The sequence below is a fragment of the Homo sapiens genome, chromosome 3, assembly GCF_000001405.40.
Source record: "Homo sapiens chromosome 3, GRCh38.p14 Primary Assembly".
Classification (NCBI taxonomy): domain Eukaryota; kingdom Metazoa; phylum Chordata; class Mammalia; order Primates; family Hominidae; genus Homo; species Homo sapiens.
Genome location: NC_000003.12, coordinates 149,788,630 through 149,801,940, shown reverse-complemented (window position 1 = coordinate 149,801,940; position 13,311 = coordinate 149,788,630). Strand labels below are relative to the sequence as shown.

Sequence of the window (13,311 nt, the reverse complement as noted above, 5' to 3'; positions counted from 1 at the left end):
AAAGACATCAAAGATTTAATTGTCAGCTATTGCCACCTCATATTTGATCAGTTCTCACCCCTGACCCCAACACTCTTCTGCAGACTGCATGACTAAACACATTCTTAAGGCAGGGAAGGAAAATCCACAGAATGGGGAATACTAAACAAAAATGAGAACACAGAAGATCGGAGAAGGCACCGTCCTTATCTGTGGGGCTTCGATGAATATTTAAGAGCTTTCTCTACAATTTAAACACAAGATAGGGGATGGGATAGCAGAAAGGAGACTGCTAAGCATGATGTGTTTCATTCTACTAAATGGGACTGTGGTTAAAGTTATAATTTAATTTACAAGTCCTGTATTGATATAAAACATTCCAACTAACACAATGATACATAGTACTTCAATTAGCCTACTGTTTGTTCGATTTTAGTTGACAATAAACTGTTTTATAACTGCTATTTTCCTAAATACTGCTTATTTTCCTAATTGTAGATTTCTTTCCTGTTTACTGCTTGTTATTTCCTATATCAAGCATGAGTTTATTCTGGCTATCAATTGCACAATTTCACTTCCTTGAAAGAGTCTTTGCATCTAGTGATGAGCTCTAATGTCTGGAAATTCTCCCAGCTTCCATCTTGGTTATAGTTAAGTCTTTATTGATCTTAGCAATTTAATGAGATGCATCTGCCCCTAGTTTTTTCACTTCCAAAAATAAAGACATGAGGGAACTGTTCAATTGCATTTGCCATGTGTTTAGATGATCCAATTAAAGACACTAGGTATATCAAATAATAGTAATAACCAAATAATGCAAGATTAAAACCACTGTTTTGTGAAACTATTTTTAGGTGAATTTTAAAGGACAATATTCTTTTGCTTTTCTTTGTATTAAATTGGGAGGCAGCTGGGACAAAAATTCTTTCTCTTTACAATTACTTTTTTTTAAAAGCTCCATATAACTTCTAGTTCCTTGCTATTCAAAGTACGGTCCAGGGAGGCCGGGCACGGTGGCTCAAGCCTGCAACCCCAGCACTTCGGGAAGCCAAAGCAGGCGGATCACTTGAGTTCAGGAATTCAAGACCGGCCTGGCCAACATGGCAAAACTCCATCTCTACTAAAAATACAGAAATTAGCCAGGCATGGTGGTGTGCATCTGCGTTCCCAGCTACTTGGGAGGCTGAGGCAGGAGAATTGTTTGAACCCAGGAGGTGGAGGTTGCAGTAAGCTGAGATGGTCCCACTGTACTCCAGCCTGTGCGACAGAGCGAGACTTCATCTCAAAAAACAACAACAACAACAAAAACAAACAAACAAAAAAACAAAGTATGGTCCAGGGAGTTTATTAAATTGAAAATCCCAGGTCCCACTCTAGAACTTCTCAGTGAGAAACAACATATAAAAAGGATCACCAGATGATTCGAATGCATATTTATGCTTTCTTAGATGGAAAGAAAGAACAAAACTCAATGACAAATTTTAAAAGTCACAATAATAAAAGCATAGTTAGATATTAAAAATAGATACTATCAATTCTTTCTCAACACATTAGCATTGACATTTTAATACCAAAGCAGATACTTCTAAGGTAAATAGTATCATAAAGGACCACCAATCATTCAGCATTGATTTACAATACTATTTACCATGTAACATAAAATTCTTCTTGTTATTCTGTACATATCAATAACATGTATGCCATGTATCAATATGTCATAAATCAGAAAATATTTTAAAATCAATATAAGCATGTAATTATTTCAAAGCTTTATATATATACATACTTTAAGTTCTGGGATACATGTGCAGAATGTGCAGGTTTGTTACATAGGTATACACGTGCCATGGTGGTTTGCTGCACCCATCAACCCATCATCTGCATTAGGTATTTCTCCTAGTGCTATCCCTCCCCCAGCTATCTCCTAATGTTCCCCTCCCTGTGTCCATGTGTTCTCATTGTTCAACTCCCACTTATGAGTGAGAACATGCAGTGTTGGGTTTTCTGTTCCTGTGTTAGTTTGCTGAGAATGATGGTTTCCAGCTTCATCCATTTCCCTGCAAAGGACATGAACTCATCCTTTTTTATGGCTGCATTGTATTCCATGGTGTATATGTGCCACATTTTCTTAATCCAGTCTATCATTGATGGGCATTTGGGTTGGTTCCAAGTCTTGCTATTGTGAATAGTGCTGCAATAAACATATGTGTGCATGTGTCTTTATAGTAGAATGATTTATAACCCTTTGGGTATATACCCAGTAATGGAATTGCTGGGTCAAATGGTATTTCTGGTTCTAGATCCTTGAAAAATTGCCACACTGTCTTCCACAATGGTTGAACTAATTTACACTCCCACCAACAGTATAAAAGAGTTCCTATTTCTTCACATCCTCTCCAGCATCTGCTGCTTCCTGACTTTTTAATGATCACCATTCTAACTGTCATGAGACAGTAACTTATTGTGGTTTTGATTTGCATTTCTTTAATGATCAGTGATGAGCTTTTTTTCATATGTTTGTTGGCCACATAAATGTCTTCTTTTGAGAAGTGTCTGTTCATATCCTTTGCCCGCTTTGTGATGGGGTTGTTTGTTTTTTTCTTGTAAATTTGTTTAAGTTCCTTGTAGATTCTGGATATTAGCCCTTCATCAGATGGATAGATTGCAAAAATTTTCTCCCATTCTGTAGGTTGCCTGTTCACTCTGATGATATTTTCTTTTGCTGTGCAGAAGCTCTTTGGTTTAATTAGATCCCATTTGTCAATTTTGGCTTTTGTTGCCATTGCTTTTGGTGTTTTAGTCATAAAGTCTTTGCCCATGTCTATGTCCTGAATGGTATTGCCTAGGTTTTCTTCTAGTGTTTTTATGATTTTAGGTGCTACGTTTAAGTCTTTAATCCATCTTGAGTTAATTTTTGTATAAGGTGTAAGGGAAGGGTCCAGTTTCAGTTTTCCACATATGGCTAGACAGTTTTCCCAACACCATTTATTAAATAGGGAATCCTTTCGCTCATTGCTTGTTTTTGTCGATTTGTCAAAGATCAGATGGTTGTAGATGTGTTATTTCTAAGGCCTCTGTTCTGTTCCATTGGTCTATATATCTGTTTTGGTACCAGTACCATGCTGTTTTGGTTACTGTAGCCTTGTAGTATAGTTTGAAGTCAGGTAGTGTGATGCCTGCAGCTTTGTTCTTTTTGCTTAGGATTGTCTTGGCTATACTGGCTCTTTTTTGGTTCCATATGAAATTTAAAGTAGTTTTTTCTAATTCTGTGAAGAAAGTCAATGGAAACTTGATGGGAATAACATTGAATCTATAAATTACTTTGGGCAGTATGGCCATTTTCATGATATTGATTCTTCCTATCCATGATCATGGAATGTTTTTCCATTTGTTTGCATCCGCTCTTATTTCCTTGAACAGTGGTTTGTAGTTCTCTTTGAAGAGGTCCTTCACACCCCTTGTAAGTGGTATTCCTAGGTATTTTAAATAGCAGTTGTGAATGGGAGTTTCCTCATGATTTGGCTGTTCGTCTATTATTGGTGTATAGGAATGCTTGTGATTTTTGCACATTGATTTTGTATCCTGAGACTTTGCTGAAGTTGCTTATCAGCTTAAGGAGATTTTGGTCTGAGATGATGGGGTTTTCTAAATATACAATCATGTCATCTGCAAACAAGGACAATTTGACAAAGCTTTTTAAAGGAACCTAAAGAGTTAAACTATAATAGGTAGAATGCTACGCTTTAAACTCAGAAATAAGAATCAAGAAACTGATTTCCATTTTTGAAATGTAGAAGAGGACAGTGGACTAAAATATTAGTCACTAGTTGTGGCATGGCTGTTTCTTTTCATGTGCATCCAGATCTTCTTGTAACACTATTTTTCCTTCTCTTTCTCTCTTGTTATGTGTCATCTTGCTATTTATTTGTTTTCCCTGCATTAAATCTAATTATTCCCTACTGTTATTCCCAGTAAGCAATTCCTTTCCTAATTCATTACATTTATTTTGTATTATTTACTTTTTCCATGTTTAGCCCTACTATTTGACCATTCTCTTTAAACAGAGCTTCCTTATTTATCAGTTACTTAATTATTGTATTTGCCCTCCCCCGATTCCCTACCTAGTCTTACTCTCCTCTCCACCCCAAAGACACATACACACATATACACACTACACTGGAAGCTCCATGTCTTGTTCACTGCAATAATCCAGCACAGAACAGTGCCTGACACGTATTAGGGGCTCAGTGCTGTTCAGCTTAGAAAATGATACTCAAAAGTATGTCACTTTGGCGTACTGAGTACTTTGAACTAAAGAAAACTGGAAGGCCTCAGAAGCAGCCTCAGAAGCAAAGTCTCTCTCGACCTTCTCCTGCCCTCTGGTTTCCCACACTTCCTCCTCCCCTGAAGGGAGTCAAAGAAACCAGAATTCCTCTTCTCCAAGGCAGGACATAAAAACTAGAACTCCTCATCTCTAATGTAAGCTAAAAAATCTAGAAAGGTGACTCTCTCCTTTCTCCCTTAAAGACCCTCATTCCAGAGGGGTCCTGTCCTATACCTGGGAGGAAGGGGTGCTACACAGACAGGCCAAGAAGACTATGAACAGACAGGCCTTGCTGAGTTTTCCCCCTCAGTCAATTACCATTAGATTATACCCCTTTGTCCAATTTCATTTCTACATGGCTGTTCATTCTTCATCAAATCTAAGCATTAAAATGGTCAGTTTTCCCTGGGTCTTTGAATCTTCATTTCTGAAGTTCCCCATGTCACTAAAACTTTGATTAAATACATTTGCTATGCTTTTCTCTTATTAATCTGTCTTTGTTATAGGAGTGTTGGCCATGACCCTTATGATGGATGAAGAAGGATACCACAACTTTCCTACAGTGTGCATGTATTGAATGAATAAATGAATTAACAATATATCTTATCTCAGATCAAGTGTGTCTTCACCTCCATACCTTCTGTTTTATTCACACCTTTCTTATACTTCATCCTATAATACAGTCCCTGGTCCAGGTGTTTTGGACATCTGTCATCTTTCCTACTCATAGCAAATCCCTTAAGATCATATCTAGGACCAAATCTTCCAAAGACCTAGCATGTTCCATTGCATGTAGGAGGTCCCCAGTAGGCTAACTAACTTAGTTTTACCACTCTTGGAAAAAGAAAAATAACTCAAAAAGGGCCTCTAGATGCTAAGGAAAGCTGTTCCTAAATTGCAACTGAGAGAATCAAGTGTAATCCTTATCATTTTAAGCTGTCTCTAAACTGCTATGAGTTTTTCAAGTCTACCTGTCATTTTATTGTTACAAGGCAATTTTTAATGATATTAATCTAGCTTGTCTATTCATTCATTGTGAGGCTCTGGGCTAGGCCACTGGGGATACAAAGGAGAATAAGACACTGCCCCACCATCAGGAAGCTCACAGTCTAGTGGAGGAGGCTGTCACTGACACAATAAATTGATGCAGTATAAAAGATCCTGTAGTTAAAGAATGTATGATGCAGCAGGGGAATAGAGAAAACAAGTCAACTTCCCTGGTGACATCAAGAAGGCTTCTTGGAAGGGCTGTAAGTTGGACTCTTTATTTTTTTTTTCATTTTATTTCATTTAATGCATTCACATGGTTCAAAATTTAAAAAGAATAAAAAGATAATAACAAACACTGTATTAAGCCCTGGTGAGGATGTGGAGAAACAGGAACTGAACTCTCATTCATTACTGGTGGTAATGCAAAATGGTATAGTCACTCCAGAAGACAGTTTGGCAGTTTCTTACAAAACTAAACATACTCTTACCGTATGATCCCCCAGTCATGATCCTTGGTGTTTCTTCAAAGGAGTTGAAACTTATATCCAAACAAAAACCTGTATACAGATATTTATGCCAGTTTTATTTATAATTTCCAAAACTTGGAAGCAACCAAGATGTTCTTCATTGCCAGGATTGGGGGACAGGTGAAGGAAATGGGGGATGAATAAACAGAACACAGAGGATTTTTAGGGCAGTGAAACTACCCTCTCTGATACTATAATGGTGGATACAGGTCATTATGCATTTGTCAAAGCCCATAAAATATACAGCACCAAGAGTGCTGTACAACACCCTAGTGTAAACTACAGACTTTGGGTGATAATGATGTATCAATCTATGTTCACCATTTGTAAAAAAATGAACCATTCTGGTTCAGGATTTTGATAGTGAAGAATACTGTCATATGTGGAGGGAGGGAGCATATGGGAACTCTCTGTACTTTCCACCCAATTTTGCTGTGAACCTAACACTACTCTAAAAAATAAAATAAAAATAAAAATAAAATCTATTTAAAAGAAAAATATAATGCGATGAAAAATATTGTCCTCACCCTTGACGCTTAAGTCTCCTCCCCACAGGCGCCAAATTTTCCAGTTTTCTGAATGTATTTCCAGAGATTTTGAGGTATATGCACAAAACAGATTTATATCCATATATATAGATATAGATATGATTTTTCCCTTTTTTTCCACAAATGGCAATGTACTGCACACTGTATTTTATACCTTGCTTTTTTCACAAAATGATATACCTTAAAGATTTTTAAATAGTGGTACAGAAAAAACTTCTTTGTTCTTTTCAATAGCTGTATAGTCTTGTATGAATGAAAAATAATTTGTTTAATCAGTTCCCTATTGATGGACATGAAAGGTGTTTCTAATCTTTTGCTATTACAAACAACTCTGCAATGAATAATGTTACACCTATATCATTTTGCAAATAAGCATATAAATATTTGTAAAAATAAAGTTCTAGAAATTAAATCGTTGGGTCAAAGAATATGTGCATTAGTAATTTTAATATATATTTCCAAATTTTCCTTTATACAGGGTTGTACCAAATCACATTCCCTATGGCAAAGTATCATTGGAACAAACTCAGCAAGAATGTGTAATCAAACTTTTGGATCTTTTCCAATTTCCTGGTAAAAAATGGCATCATGTCCTTAAAATGTTTGTGGGTGCTCTTTATATATTAAACGCACCTTTTATCTCTACCAAGAATTGCAGGTATTTTTCTTTTTCTTTTTTCTTTTTTTTTTGTTTGACACAGAGTCTCGCTGTGTCACCGGGCTGGAGTGCAGTGGTGTGATCTCGGCTCACTGCAACCTCCACCTCCCGGGTTTAAGTGATTCTCCTGCCTCAGCCTTCCAAGTAGCTGGGACTACAGGCGCCCGCCACCGTGCCCGGCTAATTTTTGTCATTTTTAGTAGAGACAGGGTTTCACCATGTTGGCCAGGATTGTCTCTATCTCTTGACCTTGTGATCCGCCCACCTCAGCCTCCCAAAGTGCTGGGATTACAGGTGTGAGCCACCATGCCCAGCTGCAGATATTTTTCTAACTTTATTTATCCCTGGCTTTATATCAAATTACTTTTCCATGTAGATTTTTTTTAAAAAAAAGTTGAATTGATCAATGTTTTCTTTGACAGCTTTAGGAATTTTTGTCACAGTTAGAAAGGTCTTATTACTCAAGATGATTGAAAAATCTCATGAAATGTAAGAAGACTAAAGTTTTCATGATTCAATTTTTCCCATTTAAATTTTTAAACTCGTTTTAGAGTCATTTTTAATTTCTCCTGCTGTAAGGTAAAAAGTAAGTCTCCAGTGTTTTTTTCAGGTGACTACCTGGTTAATCCAACACTATTAATAATTTATCTTATTTTCCCACTCCACCTCCACTGATTAGTTAGATGTCACTTTTACCATACACTAAATTCTTTTATGTATTTGAATCCATTTCTATGCTTTCTATTTTTACATTGATTTTTCTGACTCTTCATGTGCCTGTACCATCCTGTTTTAATTACTGTAGCCTTATATTAAATTCTAACATCTAGTAGGTGACTGCCCCCTCATTACTCTTCTTTTCCAGAGTTTTTCCAGCTATCCTTGCCTGTTTTCTCTACATGAATTTTAGAACCATCTTGCTTACATAAACAAAAAAAATCTTGCTTGTATTTTTATTGAGATAATATTAATTTATAGATAAATTTAGGAAGAATTGATGACTTTAAATAATTTTGAACCTTCCATCCAAGGTTATGATATACCTGCCACTTGTTCAGCCCTTTTTTATGTTTATTGATTGTATTTTATGTTTATGTTATACGGCTCTTACACATTTCTTGTTAAGATCTTTCTTTCTTTCTTTCTTTCTTTCTTTCTTTCTTTCTTTCTTTCTTTCTCTTTCTTTCTTTCTTTTTTTTTTTTTTTTTTTTTGAGACAGAGTCTCACTCTGTTGCCCAGGCTGGAGTGCAGTGGTGTGATCTCAGCTCACTGCAACCTCTGCCTCCAGGGTTCAAGTGATTCTTGTGCCTCAGCCACCAGAGTAGCTGGGATTACAGGCATGTGCCACCACACCTGGCTAATTTTTGTATTTTTAGTAGAGACAAGGTTTCACCATGTTGGCCAGGCTGGTCTCGAACTCCTGACCTCAAGTGATCTGCCCAACTTGGCCTCCCAAAGTGCTGGGATTACAGGCGTGAGCCACCGCACCCAGCCAAGTTTATTCTTAATACATTATCTTTCCTTTTATAAATGGAGTATTTTCTTCTATTATGTTGAAGAGACAGATTCTTGCTATGTTCCCTGGGCTGCAAAGCAGTGGCTATTCGCAGGTGCAATCACAACGTATTACACCCCCAAACTTCTGGGCTCAAACTATCCTCCCATCTCAGCCTCCTGAGTAGGTGGGATAGCAGGCATGTGCCACCATGTTCAGCTTATTTGCTCGCTTATTGAGCGGGTTTGAAATATTTTCCACCAACACTAAGTGGGGGTTGAAGGAGATAACAATGGGAAATTGTTCTAAATAACATAAAGGCAAGGATTAAAGAAAATACCAACTATATTGTGTTGCTACTCAGCAGATTCTATGACACAGAAATCAGAAAAGAAAGCCACAGAATGATTTGCCTACACATTCATCTCCCTGGTGCAAGTGGGTATTGTTCTGTACCCTGTGGCAGGATTATAAATACTGCCAGAGAACAAGTACACAAAGTTGTTATGGAAACCAGAATGTTTCAGCTCAAGAGTTATTTACAGAGAACTTTCAGGATTATCACATTCAATAAAATCAACTCTTGTTTTGCTTCACCCTGTGCTAGTGCATCCCAATCAAATATCTATTTTTAAGGGTTCTTCAATCAGCTGTACTTATGTAAATAAGAATTCAGGAGTCAGTTGATGGGGACCACATCACAAAAGTGTAATTTATGAGTAGCATTTTTGTATCACATGCTTGAAGCTTGTCCATACTTGCCTCAACCATTGTCAAGTTTGCTGGTTTCCGTAATATAGGAATAAGGTGGCTATTGACTACTGCCTTCCGCAGATAAATATTTCCTCCAAAGTAGCTGGTGTCTGTGTTGCCTGATACTGTGGCACTGTGGGACTAGGCTCTTCACATTCTACAACTTACCTTTGAGGCTAGACAGTGACAGCTGCCTCTGGCTATCATTTTTGTCCTTAATTGTGAACCGGAATTTTTCTAGCCATCCAGGAGAATCTTTGAAAAAGTTGGATATTTTTTGTTTGAAAAGGTAATTGTACAATGAGGATTTTCATCGCCTTTGAAGGATCTTTTGAACCGTTTGATGTTTCAGCAGATGAAACTGTGGAGGTTGTCAAGCTGATGATAAAGGTATGTACTTCGTTCCCAAACCACCAAAATGTATATTAATTTTAACAATGCAGTGCATTTAAAAATGTACAAAGGGTAGAGATGCTATTGGGTACATTTTCAGCAAACAGGGAACGAAAACTATTTGAAAATACTATTATTTGCTTACACAATAGATTTATAAGAAGATAGTAACTCTGGTAGTGTTGGACAAGAAAGCAAAAAGAGCCAGTCAATTATCAAGAAAAAAAAAAAGTCTGACTTCTTTTTAGGGAATGTGTGGGTTGTGCATAGGCCAGATAATATTATTGCAATTCTTCATAAAAGGACCAAAGCAAGACACCAACTTCAGGCTATATACGTGGGACATGCCAGTCATCAGATAAATGTCTTATTTGGTGAGCAAACAACTACAAAGAACAGAAGATTTTGGAAGCAGAGAGGACTTTAGAGAACTTGTGAGCTATGGCTTCATTTTGCATTCAGAAAAAACTGAAGCTCTGAGAGGTTGACTATCTTACCTAGGATCACAGAGCCAGAATAAGAAATAACTTGGGTATAGTATCTTCCTTATAAATTTCATATAAATGTTCACTCTAAAATAAAAAATTAAGCAAAATATTTAGTTTCTGATCATCAAATATTTAACTTGGAGATGGTCATTCCTATTTGCTAAGCGGCATTTACTGAACCATAGTTACATGATATTCAGTAGATTATTATGATGATTGAAATCTAAATCTTGTAACACAAGGGATCTTAACCTCTATGTTTTATTAACCCCTTTGGAAGTCTGGTGATGTCTATAGACTGCTTCTCAGAATGTCTTTAAATGCATAAAATAAAACAGATATGATAGAAATGAAATTTGTTATATTGAAATACATTTTCCAATATTAAAAAGCAAATGTATGATATAGTGACATGTGGACTTCCTAATTAACACATTAACTAACAAGTTCTAGCAGCTCATCTAATAACTATTATTTTCAAAATACAGATCAGTAGAAATAATATTTTGAAATATTTGCAACAACTATAATGTGATATGAAAACATCTGTGACTTCTATTGGTGTCAGTCACAGGTACAGCGACTACTCCTACTTTAATTTGCTGCCTACATGTATAGTTGAAAGAAAATCTCAATTTCATTTAGAGTTAATAAAATAAAGATGTAGTTTCTTCCCATCTAAATTCTACCCATAAATGTTTTGGAAGTTCTCTAAGTTAAGAACCCCTATTTAATACTTCTTCCCTTTGTCCCAAACAATTATAATGCCCAGAGGAAAAAAATGTAAAGGGAAAGAGAGTACATTTCTGGTCTAGTAACGTAAGGATGTACTGTTTTCATAATATGCTATTGATTTTTAAGGATTATTTCCACATTCCTCTCTCTGAAGACAAACAAGGCAGGCGGTATCTGGAGTTAATGTATGCTGGAGCTGCTCTAAAGGACAGTTGGAGTCTTGCTGATGTTGGAATATCTTTCTGTTCAACTCTCAAATGCTTTGTTAAGGTATGATGGTCAGGATAATATTCGTCTAAGATATCTATCTCATTTTGAATAAAGTTGGGGATAAGTCAACCAAAGTAATTCCATAACTTAAAAAGAAATTGTCTCTTTTTGCCTTCTCCTCACTTCCATTTGTATAACAGGTCTTACGCATGCTTTGTGCTGTAAGGGGAAGTAAGACATGGAGAAGGGATAAAGTTGCCCCCTCTTTACTCTTCTTCCTCTTGCCTCCCCACACCCTTTATTGCCTGCCCAGTCCTGTCATCTCAGAACCGATATGAAAACAAAGCCAAGGGGCAGATCTGGAATTTTGATGTGGGAAGAAGAGCATTAGATCACTTTGGTGGGGCCACAGTGATTACTGGCAGTGGAATGAGGAAGGAGAAGAAATTCTCAGTAACAATAAGAATGAAAGGGAATTTTCTACATCCAAATCCAGCCAAAGTAGCCATTCCAATTAGGTGTACAGGCAATAAAGATATTTTTTCATTTATAGAGGGTCCTTAATCAATGGTGCTTAAGATGCACGGTTGGGCTTTAAGAACCTTAAAAAACCCTAAAATTGTAATATAAACAAAATTAATGTGCCTGGAGATTTTCTGAGTCTAAGATCCTTTATGGTCAACAATTTTTTTAAGGAACGGGTGATCCAAAGAATTTAAATGCTGCTGCTCTAGGGTAGAAGTATTATCCTGTGTTAGTGCTTTACCGTATATAAAAATATGAACTTTAGGAAACTTAGGAAAGTATACATTCTCCGCTAAATGGTGCCCCAAGTTTCTCATATTTAACATTTTAAAAAATTATGGTAGTCAAAGTTAACTCTTTCTTTTAATATATGTTAGTACTTGACTAAATGGATGTTTAAAAGGAATACTCTGGGCTGGGTGCAGTGGCTCACACCTGGGTGGGAAGATCATGAGGTCAGGAGATAGAGACCATCCTGGCCAACATGGTGAAACCCCATCTCTACTAAAAACACAAAAATTAGCTGCGCGTGATGGCATGAGCCTGTAGTCCCAGCTACTCATTAGGCTGAGGCAGGAGAATCACTTGAACCCAGGAGGGGGAGGTTGCAGTGAGCTGAGCTCGAGCCACTGCACTCCAGCCTGGGCAACAGAGTGAGACCCCATCTCGGAAAAAAAAAAAAAAAGAATATTCTTCAATATTTATTATTAAGTAGGAAAGACAAGTCACAGAATAATGATCATTGAATCATCCCATTTATGTAAACAAAAGACCATATTTACATACGTTTTTAATGTTTTATTTTCTGCCTCTTTTACTCAGAAAATGGAAGTATAACATTACATTTCAAAGCAGACCAAATTCCAGCCACTTCTTAATGTCTTCTCTTTACATATTTAAATATATTTCCATACTAGGTTTTTGGTGCCGTACAGGATCAACTCTCTAAAATTTCCCAGAAGTCTGTAATACCAATCATAAGGTTCAAGACTTTTTATTGTTTGCTTGCTTAGAGATGGTAGTGTAAGTTCAATACTAACATTTGAGCTGACTGGAAGAATCTGACGGCTTTTCAGGGATGTAGACAAGGTTTTTAACAGTATGGATAGGATACTTTTATTTAACTAAGGACTGATTTTATTTTTATTATATAACATTTTAAAATTTATTTTTGACTAGGTAGTATGTTCACATGGTTCTCAATTCAAAAGGAACAAAAAGATACACAGTAAAAAGTATCCTGGCCAGGTGTGGTGGCTCACACCTGTAACCCAGCACTTTAGGAGGCTGAGGTGGGAGGATCACCTGAGGTTGGGAGTTCAAGACCAGTCTGGCCAACATGGTGAAGCCCCATCTCCAATAAAAATACAAAAATTAGCTGGGTGTGGTGGGCACACCTGTAATCCCATCTACTCAGGAGGCTGAGGAAAAGAATCACTTGAACCCTGGAGGTGGAGGTTACAGTGAGCCGAGATCACCCCACTGTACTCCAGCCTAGGTGATAGAGTGAGACTCTGTCTCAAAAAAAGAAAAAGAAAAGAAAAGAAAAAGAAAAAACTCTCCCTTCTCTGGCCCCCAGTTTCCCTCCCCAGATGCAACCTATGTTCACAGTTTTACTTACAAAAACATTTCCTAAATTCTGCCAATAAAGCATCATATATCACAGTGATGCAAGCTTCACGCTGA

At 36.9% G+C, this 13,311-nt stretch overlaps 1 protein-coding gene across 6 annotated transcripts in view, besides 1 other annotated feature; it reads left to right on the top strand.

Annotated features, from left to right (window-relative positions):
- The first annotated feature begins 9,386 nt into the window (after positions 1-9,386).
- ANKUB1 (ankyrin repeat and ubiquitin domain containing 1) overlaps positions 9,387-13,311 on the top strand; it is a 31,455-nt gene continuing 27,530 nt past the window's right edge. For 3 of the 6 annotated variants that reach the window (XM_011512799.2, NM_001144960.3, NM_001315506.2), the window contains exons 1-2: positions 9,387-9,664; positions 11,017-11,160. In XM_011512799.2, coding sequence (XP_011511101.1) covers positions 9,575-9,664; positions 11,017-11,160 — 234 coding nt within the window. In that variant the 5' untranslated portion in view covers positions 9,387-9,574. Of the gene's footprint in view, positions 9,665-11,016; positions 11,161-13,311 lie in introns of those variants that run through there. The other 3 variants (NM_001315505.2, XM_011512798.2, XM_011512801.2) reach the window with 2 other exon arrangements.
- Positions 10,501-11,700: an enhancer, noted in NCBI's record as "MED14-independent group 3 enhancer chr3:149508028-149509227 (GRCh37/hg19 assembly coordinates)". NCBI's record gives its function as "activates an origin of replication core promoter dependent on BRD2, BRD4, P300/CBP and CDK7 cofactors, and independent of MED14, by STARR-seq in HCT116 cells {active_cell/tissue: HCT116}" and the evidence as "EXISTENCE:reporter gene assay evidence [ECO:0000049][PMID:35650434]".